The 13235-nt window shown below is 37.8% G+C and overlaps 1 protein-coding gene across 10 annotated transcripts in view; it reads right to left on the minus strand.

Moving 5' to 3' along the window:
- Positions 1-13235, minus strand: part of NR3C2 (nuclear receptor subfamily 3 group C member 2) — a 366559-nt gene that overhangs the window by 181784 nt on the left and 171540 nt on the right. The gene's annotated exons all lie outside the window — the stretch shown is intronic.

The raw sequence follows: 13235 nt of genomic DNA on the forward strand, positions 1-13235 counted from the left end.
CCAAAAAAATTTTAAACCTCCCCTTTCCAAAATAATCCACTAATTTAAAAAAATTTTATCTTGTCTCAACTGCCAGTAATTTTATCCCTCTAAGCTCCCGCATTTTTTCATGTTATCTTATATAGATGTGTTCTAATTATTTCATTTTGCTTTCTAATTTGAAGGGACACAGCCAATAATAAAACAAAAAACCAAACAGGGTAAATATCTCAGGTATCTTTCATGGTAAGAAACTGAAGGGCTCTCTGGGAAACAGTTTTTAGGGACAAATGTAACCCTTTAGGCAACAATCTGTTTGAATACTTTTTAAGGGGAATCTTCTCAAGATATATTATATAGTACTGTGTTAGTTGATGACACTCCCTAAACAAAATGTTTTAACTTCTGATAAGGAATCATAGTTCAGTGACAGTTTAGATATGTACCAAGCAGGCAAACAAGTTGATTTTTCAATTTGCAGTTCACATACATTTCTTGAATATTTACCTGCAGATCCTGTGCAAGATACCAAGAGAAAAAATACAAAAATCCAGTCTCTGCCCTCAAAGTTGGTGGGGGCATAAACTATTATGAAGATCTAGTAGCAACACTTCATAAAGTAGAACTGGGGAAAGTGCTATGGTGCACTATGGTCAGCGCTATGGTGCACTATGGTAAGCGCTATGGTAAGCCCTATGGTGCACTATGGTAAGCGCTATGGTGCACTATGGTCAGCGCTATGGTGCACTATGGTAAGCGCTATGGTAAGTGCTATGGTGCGCTATGGTAAGCGCTATGGTGCGCTATGGTAAGCCCTATGGTGCGCTATGGTAAGCGCTATGGTGCGCTATGGTCAGTGTATGGTGCGCTATGGTCAGTGCTATGGTGCGCTATGGTAAGCGCTATGGTGCGCTACGGTCAGTGCTATGGTGCACTATGGTAAGCACTATGGTGCAGGGTAACGGGGGCAGCACACTATGAATAAAGGAATTACAAAACACTTCCCGAAATGTGACAGCTAACCTGAGTTTTGAAGCATGACTAGGTGAGAGCCAGAGTAAGAAAGGGGGCAGAGGTGGAAGAATGTGCAGAAGGGGGCTCAGAGAAATGGGAGCTGGATGGGCTCAGAAAACTGGATAGAGTTGCTGTATGTCACTTCTATCACCTTGCTGTCAAAGCTTTTGCCTCCAAGCCAAACAGCAGAAACATGGAAAAATGTCAATGAAAAGGCTAAAATGGTTATGTTACAGTGAAGATTTATTTTTCAAGTCTGCTAAAATGTGATAATAATGCGTTAATATTTGTTTAAAGTATTTTGAACTATACTCTCACGAAAAACAGAGGAAAGAACAAGCTATACAGCTGCTTAGAGCATGACTGCCTTTCTAGAAAATGACTTCTTAAATCAAGGACTGAAATAATGTTCTCCAAAGTTGTTTCTCCTTCTGAGAAAAGTGCTCTTTATTATTTTTATTGGTATCCTTTGACTTCTTTATGGCATTCAAAACATTCCATTTCTGCACCAGTAACTTCTTCAACATATTAGCCAGTAAAACTTAATCCATACCCTGTCTGACTCATCTTACACTTCACAAGAAAATGCCACGGTTTTGTAAATATTTAGAATATAACTTAAAATCATCATGAAAATGTAATTGCTTTTTCACAACTATAAGCATAAGCGGGATTTTTATTCGACATTTCTGTGGGCCTTGATCCCAGTACTATTTTATTGGGATCTTACCTTCAGTCTTTGGAACTCTCCTCTTTTTCTATCCCAACTTACTTTCTCGGTGATCTCATCTAGTCTCTTGGCTTTCAATATCACCAATATGCTGGCAACTTCCAAATATTTATCTCTAGCCCAGACCCCTCCCTGGAATTTCAGACCCATTTATTCAACTGCCCACGTGGTATCTCCACTTGGGTGTCTAACACGCACCTCAACCTCAACATGGGCAAAATTGCAGATCTTTCCCTGCCTCCAAACGTGTTCATTTCACAGATATCCTCTTCTCAGTTAACGGCAACTACTATGGATGGAACTGTGTCCCCCAAAAATTCATATGCTGAAGTCCTAGCCCTTAGTACCTTGTAATGTGACATTATTTGGGATTAGGGTTGTGCAGATGTAATTAGTTAAGATGAGGTCATACTGGAATAGGGTGGACCCCAATCTAATAGGACTGATGTTATTATATACAGGGGAAATTGGAACATAGACACCTGCATGAGGAGAACACCATGTTTAGATTAAGGCAGGGAGTCCGTGCTTGGGCTAAAAAGCATGGACTTGTCTCTGACCCTTCTCTTTCTCTCACACAACACCCCTAGCCCTGAATCTGTTAAATTTTATTCGTTTTATCCACAGAACATATTCAGATTCTGATCAATCTCCAAACACTCCTCCAGCACCATCTACTTCGAGCTGTCAACACCTCTTACCTGGGATTCTGCAGAAGCTTCCTAGCTGATCTTCTGGTTTCTCTTTGCTCTGTTCCCTGCCACCATCTCCACTCCCTGACAGCCCCTGCCAGAATGACCCTTATGCATTCATTCCTTTTCTTTTATTTCTATACTCTATCCCTTAATGATCTCATCCACAATCCTAGCTTCAAACAGCTCGCTTGGTGAATGACTTTCCAAATCCTTACAGCCAGCTCCAACCTCTACCCCGTGTTCCAATTTCAAGTCTGCCTTATTAGCTTCTTGAGCATATCATGCTCAAAACAATATTTACTTTCTTTCTCCAGATTTTGATGTTGTGAAAGAGTACTGCCATCTGCTAGTTACCCAGGTTCAAACCTTGTACTCTTTCCTCAACTATCCAATCTAATCAGTTACCACCACGTCCTGCTCAGTCCAGCTTTGCAAACTCTCACATAGCTTCTCTGCATCCCACTGTTGGTAACACTGGTTCAGGCCCTTGTTACTTCCCAAGGGTTCTTCCATAACTCTAGCTTTTCCTTCCAGTTCATTCTACAGTGACTGCTGACGAATCTGAAGATAAAGGTTCTGACTGTATTACTTCTATGCTTAGAAATCTTCAATCATCCCTTCCGAATGCCACCATAAATAAAAATCTTAGTAGGACACTTAAAGTCTTTCTCCCTACTATCAGTCTTCTCCTTCAGGGTCTAATCATAATGCTTAACCTTATGCTCAGCACATGCCAACATCCCTGTTGAAGTGTTCTGGTCAACCACCATTTACAGGACCTAGCATTTCCTCTCCCTCACTCCCACTGGAAACCCTGTCCATCATTAAAGGGCCCTGATGTTCCCCCAGCATGAAGTACCACTCTCCCTTCTCCTAACTCCTTCACATTTTGCTAATCCTTCTCCTTTAGCAGTTACCACTCTTGCTCTTGTATTAGTGACTTGTGCACTTATCCTAATCCCTCGAGGGCAAAAATTTTATTGTATGCATCTCTGTGTTCCCAACGCCTTTAGCCCAGTGTTGGTACTATTTATTGAGTGAATGAAATCACACTCCTAATCTCATTACAGTAGAACATAAATTTACAAAAGTCAATTTTACAGAAGGTAAATTAATGAGGCCAAGGTTATCAGTTCAATTCCCATATGGTTCATTTAGCTTTGCACAGAGGAAAAAAAGAATCCAGGGACAGACTATTGTCAAAAGCTCAGCCAGCTGTCTTGCAAACATATGCATTATTAACACAAGAGACAGGTCACAAAAATAGATGGGTTTGGAAAACTCTAGTCTCTATTGACACACTATCATGTGGTTATCTTTGAAACTAAAAGATGGCACATGGTTGGAAAATTGTTTGCATCCAGTTTTAAGAAACACATTTAGATTATACATATCACAAAATGGGGGGAGGCAGATCTTGAACTCACCTTCTTCTTAGACACTGAATGTCTTTAAAATACAAAGCATGTTTAGTGATTTGTATGTCAAAATTCAACTTCAGAGAATAATAAATTTACCAAACATCTACACATAGCATGTAAAGCCCAAACTGAGGGCCAAACATGCAGGGATCAAAGACAGGAATGGAGGCTCACTAAGGAGGCCTGGGCTCTAGTTCTAGCTCTGCCATTAACTGGTGAAACCTTTGCAAAATCACCTCTCCTCTCTGGGCCATAATTCTCAGCAAAAAGAGGTTCAACAGATGATAGCTAAGATCCTTTCCAAGATATCCTTTTAAGATAAAAGTATAAAAATAAATGGAATAGCCTGTCCTGATCAAGTTTAATCCAAATTGAGCTCAAACTCAAATTAAAAACAACGTATTCTGAAACCCAGCAAACACTGTTTGATCTGGATCAAACATAAAAAATGAATAAAATATTATTCTTTCTAAATCAGCTAATTATATAACACTTAAAATCTTTTTTACATTGATATAATATCTGTGCTGCTGATTTTGGTTAAAATGTCTGAATAAATGTAAGCAATAGATGGTATTCTGCATCCCTCCAAACCATTTTAATATTGAAGAGTTAGAAAAAACTACGAAAACTCATCATTTTGGGGGTTAATAATCAAAGAAACATTGTTCACAGAAAGAAGTTTATCATCAGCAAAGGTAGTTCAGAGGATTTTATACAAATGTTAAAATATTATAAAGGCAGAAATGAGTGAAAATTTTATTTCCATTTGTAAAGACAGTATTTCTCTTAGGGAAACACAAGCAAGCTGCAACTATTTTCAGTACTAAATATACTCCATCTAATGACTCAGTAAAGAGATAGAAAAGATTAACCAAAGGTTTATACTGATTTTGGTGACAGTCAGGAGGAAATACACTAGCCAATCATCAAAAACACTTAGTGTGCTATGTTTTTGCCCAAAAGAATGGTGCTTGGGGAGAAGTAACAAGAAGCTACGTAAGAAAAAAAATGATTTTTTACAAATTAAAAAATGCCTGGAGAAATTGGCTCATTGAGAATCTCTAAGGCACCGTGTTGTTCCAGGAATTATCATATGTAAAACTATCTTTCCCATCCTTACAGTAATTTCATAACAAAACAGTAGCGACTGATCCACTTTCAGTGATTAGAAATTCTTCATGTAAAAAATAGTCGTATTTTTTAAACTCACTTAATATGAATTAAACAAACCTATCTTTTATACTATTACTTAATCAGATAAAAGCTTCTACCACCACCATCACCGGCTACAGTGTTTTCTGTTTTTCCATATGTAATCAATTCAAACATTCATTCACCTATCTTAGAGCACAGCGAGAATTTGGAGGACCATATAAACAGCAGATCAGTAAACATCCTCACATACTGATCTGAACATGCTGGTGTGTTTAAATTATTCATTAACTAGGCCAAGTACTGAAAGTCTACGGTGGGCCCCACTGTTCTAAGCACTGAGAAAAACTAGAAGGAGAAAAGTCCTTATCCTCATGGAACTTCTATAGTCATGGCGAATAGAGAGACAATACAGAAGTAAACAAATAATTTCAGATAGAGGGAAGTATTACAAAGAAAATGACAGACACTGAGATTGGACGGGGAGGGTGGGGGAGACAGGATCCATTAAATAAAATAGCTCCAGAAGGCCGCTTTTTTTTTTTTTTTTGAGACAAGAGTCTCGCTCTGTTGCAGGCTGGAGTGCAGTGGTGTGATCTTGGCTCACTGCAACCTCCGCCTCCCGGGTTCAAGCGATTCTCCTGCCTCAGCCTCTAGAGTAGCTGGGACTACAGGTGTGCGCCACCACGCCCAGCTAATTTTTGTATTTTTAGTAGAGATGGGGTTTCACCATGTTGGCCAGGACAGTCTCGATATCTTGACCTTGTAATCTGCCCGCCTCGGCCTCCCAACGTGTTGGGATTACAGGCGTGAGCCACTGCACCCGGCCCAGAAGGCCTCTTTCTCTGGTGATACTGAAATGACAGAGTAGCCAGCCACGTGAAGGTGCCAAAGGTAAGGGCAAGTGCAAAGTCTCTGAGACAGGAATGAATGCAACACATTCCAGAGAGAAAAATGAGGGCAATGGGGCAAAAATGTAGTCAATAAGGAGGAAGGAAAGATGAGAGGGTGCAGGATGTGAGGTCCAAGAAGATGGTGGGGCTGGATCCCATGGCTTTGGAAGGCTAAGGAGGCAGACTATTGTCCTGCATGCCATCAGAGTGCTGTGAACTCTGGAATGTTTTAAGGAGTCAGGTCACATGATCTTATTAACATTTTAAAATCTTACTGTGACTGTTGGGTGGAGAATGGACTGCAGAAGTCGGTGACCTTGGACATGGGCACACCAGCCAAAGAAGCTTCTGCAGTTGTCCAGGCAGGAGATAATAATGGTGTGAAGTAGGGTAAAAGTGGTAAAGACAGTGAGAAGTGGCTAATTCAGAGAAATTTTTTTAAAGTAGACAGTATCAACAGGACTTGCAGAAATACTGGATGGCGACACTATTAACTGATATCTAAGATGGGGGGAAGAGCAGTTTGGAGAGTTACGGGGAATTTCTTTTGGACCTGATAGTTGCAGAACAGTATATAGAGGATGACATGTTCCTATTTTTGTAGATAACAGAATTATAGTCTACCCAAAGGAAAAACTAGGAGCCATATATGTCAGGTTTATTAACTGTGTGCCACACTTTCCTTATCTGTTAGGTAGTGATAGCAAAGGTCCTACCATATTGCATTGTTGTAGATTACACGACTCAGTATATTCAAGAACACTTGGAACAGTGTCTGACAAATAGTGTTATTTAAATTCTGGCTATGATTAATTAGTATTTACCATTCCATCTATAATTCTTTTTTTTTAATTTTTTTTTTTTTTAAAGAGACAAGGTCTTGCTCTGTTGCCCAGGCTGAATTAGAACTCCTGGTTTCCTGGGATCCTCCACCTCAGCTTCCCGAGGAGCTGGGACTACAGGCACAAGCCACCACACCCAGCTAGATCTGTAGTTCTTAATGGTGGCTGCCATAATAGTGGACCTATAGGTAATTCTACCATTCTGTATTATATTCTTCTGTATGGCTTTTAATTTGTAAAACAATGGTAAGCAGAAGAAAGGGTTTTTAAAAAAATAATTTAAAATAATACCACAATAGCCATATTGTTTACTGTATACAGTAAACAGAACTTTGTGTGCATATGGATTTCAACATTTCTTCTAAGAATTCTGGCTCCCCTGGTGTCTGCAGTGTATAGGTTGGGAACAGCCACATTATATCATTAAGATAAATAATTATTGAGATTCAAATATATACTCTTTTATATACAGAACACTAAATCTAAGAAACAGAAGGATTTGGAAACCACCAATATTTTAAAAAATACATTTAACAAACATAAATCAACCTTTAACAACTGTTTTACTGAAATTCTTATTTTCAATACACTTAAAACATACTTTAAAAAGCTCTTTGCTGCATTTCCTTTTGTTTTGAAAGGCTTATATTTTGAGTCACAGTGTTTTTTTTTTTTTTTTTTGAGACGGAGTCTTGCTCTGTCGCCCAGGCTGGAGTTCAGTGGCGTGATCTCAGCTCACTGTAACCTCCACCTCCTGAGTTCAAGCGATTGTCTTCCTCAGTCTCCTGAGTAGCTGGGATTACAGGCACCCACCACCAAGCCTGGCTAATTTCTTCATATTTTTAGTAGAGATGAGGTTTCACCATCTTGGCCAGGCTGGTCTTGAACTCCTGACCTTGTGATCCACCTGCCTTGGCCTCCCAAAGTGCTAGGATTACAGGCATGAGCCACTGTGCCTGGCCTTGAGTCACAATATTTAACCTGAAGTAGCTCCTTCTAATATTCTCATTATTTAGCGGGAATATTTGAGAGCTGTTTTATGTTATATTTTCTTTTATGATATTATCTTTGCTGACAAATGAATCATTTATGTTTGGAAGATACTTCCTAACTAAATAAGGTTCATCCTCTCAAGCCATGATTCACAATGCACTACAGATAAGAATTAAAGAATTGATGTACACCTTACAACCTGAGCTGTTTGAATAAAGTTACTGCTAAACTGAGAAAGTTCGAGGAGATAAATACCTTGGAAAATAATTAAAAATACCTTGGAAAATAATTTAAAGCACAGTGATGACAATTAGTCTTCCACAATTTACTTTTTTGTTTGGGGTACTGGTGCAAGATAAAATTGGAGCTGGGTCAAGAAAAAATTATGCCAAGTGCAGATGATGGCAAAACACACTGAGATCCAAAACTCAAGGAGCTGTACCTTAGAGACAATCACAGAAAATGGCCCAAATCATGGAGGGTCTCTAATGTGAGATTAAGTGTTAATGATTCTAGGACAAAGAGTTGAAATGTCTGGTAAGCAACCAACAACGTGGCATGGAAAATGAAGAAATAGCTTTAAAAATCTACGACGTTAAAGGATACAATTAAGTGACTGATTACAACTTTTAATATGCACAATAGAGACAATGAATGAATAAAGGCCTAGTGAACTGAAAACTCCAGGGACCATTGGACAGGGCAAGCTTGAAAAACATGTTCGACAAGAGAAAGGCTGGAATGTAACTTAAAAGATAGGTTGTCCTCAGAGAGTAAGGACTCCATGTTCTGTTTGTGGAACAATGACTGACTGAGCCTACCCAAAAGCTGAAGTGAAGGGTAGAGAAGATCCTAGATAGAAATCTACAAAAAAACCAACATTTCCAGTTAGGCAGGGAAAGAAGAGCTTGCTAACAAACCTGAGGAAGAAAAGTCCAAGTGGGGGAGCAAGATAAGGCAGAATCTGGGAATCAAAGGGAGGAAAAAGCATCCATGGTGGACTGTGTGTAGTGTCAACTGCCAACAAGAGGACAAGACTGAAGGCTCACCATGGGGATGTGGTCATTGTTGATACTGTTGACCTTATCGACGGTAGTTTTTAAGCATATATGCACATGTATAAGATGCATATGTAAACTATATTAAAGTAAAAAAAAATCACTCCACATCTTTTCTATTAAGGATTTTCCATACTCAGGGAAGTTGTCTTTGTCATAAAACCATATCCGATAGTATGCACTTGAGCATATACAGAATCTCTAAAAAGATCTAACATCAAATCATCTCTAGAAATATTTACCGAGCATGCATATGCCAATCAGCGGTTGCTGATACAATGACTATATCTATGTACAAAAAACAAACAACAAAAAACCCCCCCAAAAAAACAAAACAAAACAAAACAAAAAAAACACCTGTGAGCACAATTTATTTGCCTCTGCAATCTGTGGCATGTGTGAGCATACTTATATTTATTATAAGTTATTCGGAATCCTCAGGGAAGGAATCATGAACTTACTGCCTCATCTGTAGATCAGTACTTTACAACATATATTTTAAGAAAATGACTACTAAATGCTTACTTGAATGTTTTTATTCATAAATACAGTGGCTTTGCTTTTGAAAAAGATTATATATGTACACATGTGTATGTGACATAATGTAACTTTTCCCCCTTTAATATTATCCTTACATTAAGATACAGACTTAGATGCTGATACAGATGGCATGAGACGCTGAGGACTGATGGGTACCGGACCTAATGTGAATCTTGAACACAAGTTATTTAGAGGTTACTGATTTCAGCATTTTTTTTTTTTTTGCTTACCACATTTTCAAAAAGTTGATGTAAAACATGCTTCATCATGCTGACCTTTATCAGCAACAAAATATGGCTTCTTTCTATAAATGTAATTAACAAATCAAAGCTTCAAACATCTTTTTCCCCTAGTGTTTTTCCTCACATTGTAGAAATAATCATTTTCCTTGCCCTTGGTACTGCCCTCTCAATCCACCTCTTACTGATGCTGTGTGTGACTGAGACACAAGAACACAGACACTGTTCCATCGGTCCACTTGCACCCTCTCTTCTACTTCTCTTACACTAAGTTTTTCACAAAGGATAAAAGGATATCTTTTATTATTTCAGAAATTTACATGAGAACACATTTACAGAAGCTCATTCTAAAAATCTATAAATACTTCACAGTCATTAATGACAATTAATGGCAATGTTATAGTGCTTTTGCTGACATGACACCATGCCATATTTATTTCAAACCTACTATCTGACTTTGAGTGGAATTACCACTCCTCAAAATATTTAAAATGGTATGTTAAGATGACATCAAAGAATGTGTTCAAATAAATCATCAGTGAAGTCTTTTGGTATTTTTTCATTAAGAATTCCCCCAGCAGAAAACAGTAGAGGCTTTAAATAAGAGCAACAATAGGGCACTAGTCAGTAGATTTGGATGACTGACTCTGCAAAGAAATTCAGAGCCACCTTTTCTAGTCTAGCCCCAATATACTTCAGGACTGATGAATCATTGCTGTACTATTCCAAAAACGGTTTCCTATGCTCACTTTTAACTGAGCTGCCACAGGAAATAGTTGTTTCCTACCTGTTTTCAAATCCTGATTGCAAAATCAGGAATTCCTTATGGTTCATTTTAACACATTTCTGACCTCTGGCTTTAATGATAAAACCAGATTCTGCTATAGGATAGCATTTCCAATTAGATAAAAATTATTCTTTACTATTATGTGGGCAATAGTGCTCTACTAAGTATGGTGGTCATAGGTCTTCAAGCGCAAACATTAAAGTATGGAGGTGAAGTTGGAAACTGCTTCTTCCACTCCCAGACAGTAGAGTTCTCTTCCATGATCACATTCTCCACGAATTTGAGCTGTTATTTTTAAAATTCTTATTGTTGTTATTATTTTCATATGCTTTGCTTTTTTTTCTGATCCATTTCACTGTTTCCACTTTTCAAGGGAAAATGCTCCTTTAAAAATGATTTTAATAAACCAAACTGAATGCTCATTTCCTGACTTGGCATGACCAGAACAATGAAGGAATCCTGAGTACTTTCTTTGGGTCTTTGTTTTTCTCAGGGTTTGAAGTTTGGGGTTGTTTCTTTGACTTCCTCCCTCCACAAATACTTGAAGCCTAAGGTTTCAGAAAGGCTGTTTTTTTGGCCACTAAGATTTTCGGCACACACTGAACTAGTGCTGCTCCATGTGGCCACACGAAAGTACATAAAAATATAATATTTATTTCCTTAGCCACCATCTTTTCTAGATGTCTTGCACGCTACTCTATTTTTAAGGAAAATTTTTTTAAAAAAAGCAAAAACTACCAAATACTCTACCTCTTTCCATCTCTGTCCCCTTTCCACCTGCCCGCATCCTCCTCTCATATATATTTTGGCTTTGAGAAAAAAACTATCACTATTAGAGCCGTGGGTATACTTGGCCCTTATTAGAACAGATATTAAAATTATTTAAACATTTAATTTAAATTAAAAGGACTATTTAGATATTTGCCAGTGGTTGGAGTGGAAGAAGAAAGAACTAATCAGGGCCTGGCTTCTTTCTAGCTCATTCATTAGCTAACTAGTACCTCCCTCTTCACCTGATTTCTGTTGCTGTCCTGGTATTAAAGAATAAGGATAGTTACTTCCAAATATCCACCTAAACCTGTAGATTATATATTATGAGCAATAAGCAGGTATTGAAACAGTTATCTTCTCCCTCTATTTATTTATTCAACACAACTACTAAGCAACTAATGTATACCAGGCACTGTTCTAGGTCTCTTGATATGTATCAACTAACCAAACACACAAAAATCCTGATAATTAGAACTCATATTCTAGTATGAGGGAATAGCAAGGGGTGGTGGCGGTTTGCAGACAAATCCCTCCTGGAAAGTAAAGGAATATTAATATATACATTAACTTCTATGACAATTCCGCATTACCTCCTCACTCTTACAAAAATGTATCAAGCCTGTTTAAAATAGCTTTTCTTGAAAGCAAGAAAAATCAAAATGAAAGTTCCAAATTCAGTTAACTCAATGTAACATCTGTTTCTTACAAATGAGATAAAAATCATGTAGATTCAAGAAAGTGCTCTCAGGAGTACTGAGTGAGGATTGAATTAGATACCTTTATTATTTAAGCCTGTGGTGTGTGTGTATAAGTGTGTGAAAGGACCCTTGGAATTTATTTAAGTCTATATTCTAGTCTTTTCTTGCCTTCAGTGACATGTGATAGTCCTTCAAATAAAAAGACATCCATATTTTTACTACTGGCTTTACTGCTCAATTTAAGTATTTTCCAAGGTTACAAAAATTTGTACTTAAAAACGATAACTGTTAAGTATACCAAAATAACTTTCATCTTTTGCCTAACACTCTTAAAAGCAATTACGGATGTTTTTTTCAGAAGTTTTTAAAATAAAAGTTAGGCTTTTGTCTTTGGCGCAGGTCTGAGAAAAGATGAAAAAGGTTTTGAAAACAAGGCAAATGGGATACATATCAAAGCAAACATGATATTGTTTAGGGGTCAGAAGTAAGTAGTTCCACTGGCATTTGCAAAAAAAAGAAAAAGACTTCAGTATACCTATAAATAGTGATAGAAAAAGATAAAGAAGTTGAAGTAGGCTGTTTCTTTCGTTTTAACTGCAAGAAGGCAAGAAATAGTGAAGTACCTTTGATCAGTCTTGCTTCAAATGTCTTCGTGCCATGTACCGGGGCCAGATGAGAAAAAGAAGGATAGTCATCAATACCACCTGACCACCCACCACAAAGATATGAGTGAGCCTGGCCTTTCTCCCTCCATTTTATTAAATGGAAATACCTAAAGTCAGATGGATGAAATCTCCTATGTTTGATTTCAATGCCACTGGAACATGAAATTAGGATTGCTAAATGTTTCGACTAGATTTCAAGGACATTATATCAAGGACATTATATCTTCGTCTATTAAAACTGTACCACCAATGCCTGTTTATGATGAAGATTTTGAAATCTATGGCAATATTCCCTTTCTTGTGCTTGAAACAATGTATACAGAATATTTACTCTTTGTGAGAAAGAGATTAATATTTTGAAACATAAGTGACAAAACACACATGTATACACACATGTATATACCTAAGCAACAATTACCAAGCTTTAAAGATTATGGTCGCTAAATTTTTTTATATATAGTAAAATAATGTTAAGGGATCAGATGGCATGTTGGGTTTTTTTTCTTAATTTAGTAAAACTTACCCAAACTGAAATATAATTTTCAAAGAGCTACAAAAAACAAGGGAGTCAGCCCCAGGGGTGCTGGCTGTCTTCCCAGCACAGTGTATCACAAGGACAGGAGGGAACTTAGAAGAGCCAACACAGACACGAGAAGGAACACAGGGCTGAGACAGCAAGGTAGTCAGGAAGCAGAAAGACAACCAGAAGCAGAGAAGGTACACACCAGGTCAAGGCTAGGAACTAGCTAGAGCCA

This window comes from Homo sapiens, chromosome 4 (assembly GCF_000001405.40).
Source record: "Homo sapiens chromosome 4, GRCh38.p14 Primary Assembly".
NCBI lineage: Eukaryota > Metazoa > Chordata > Mammalia > Primates > Hominidae > Homo > Homo sapiens.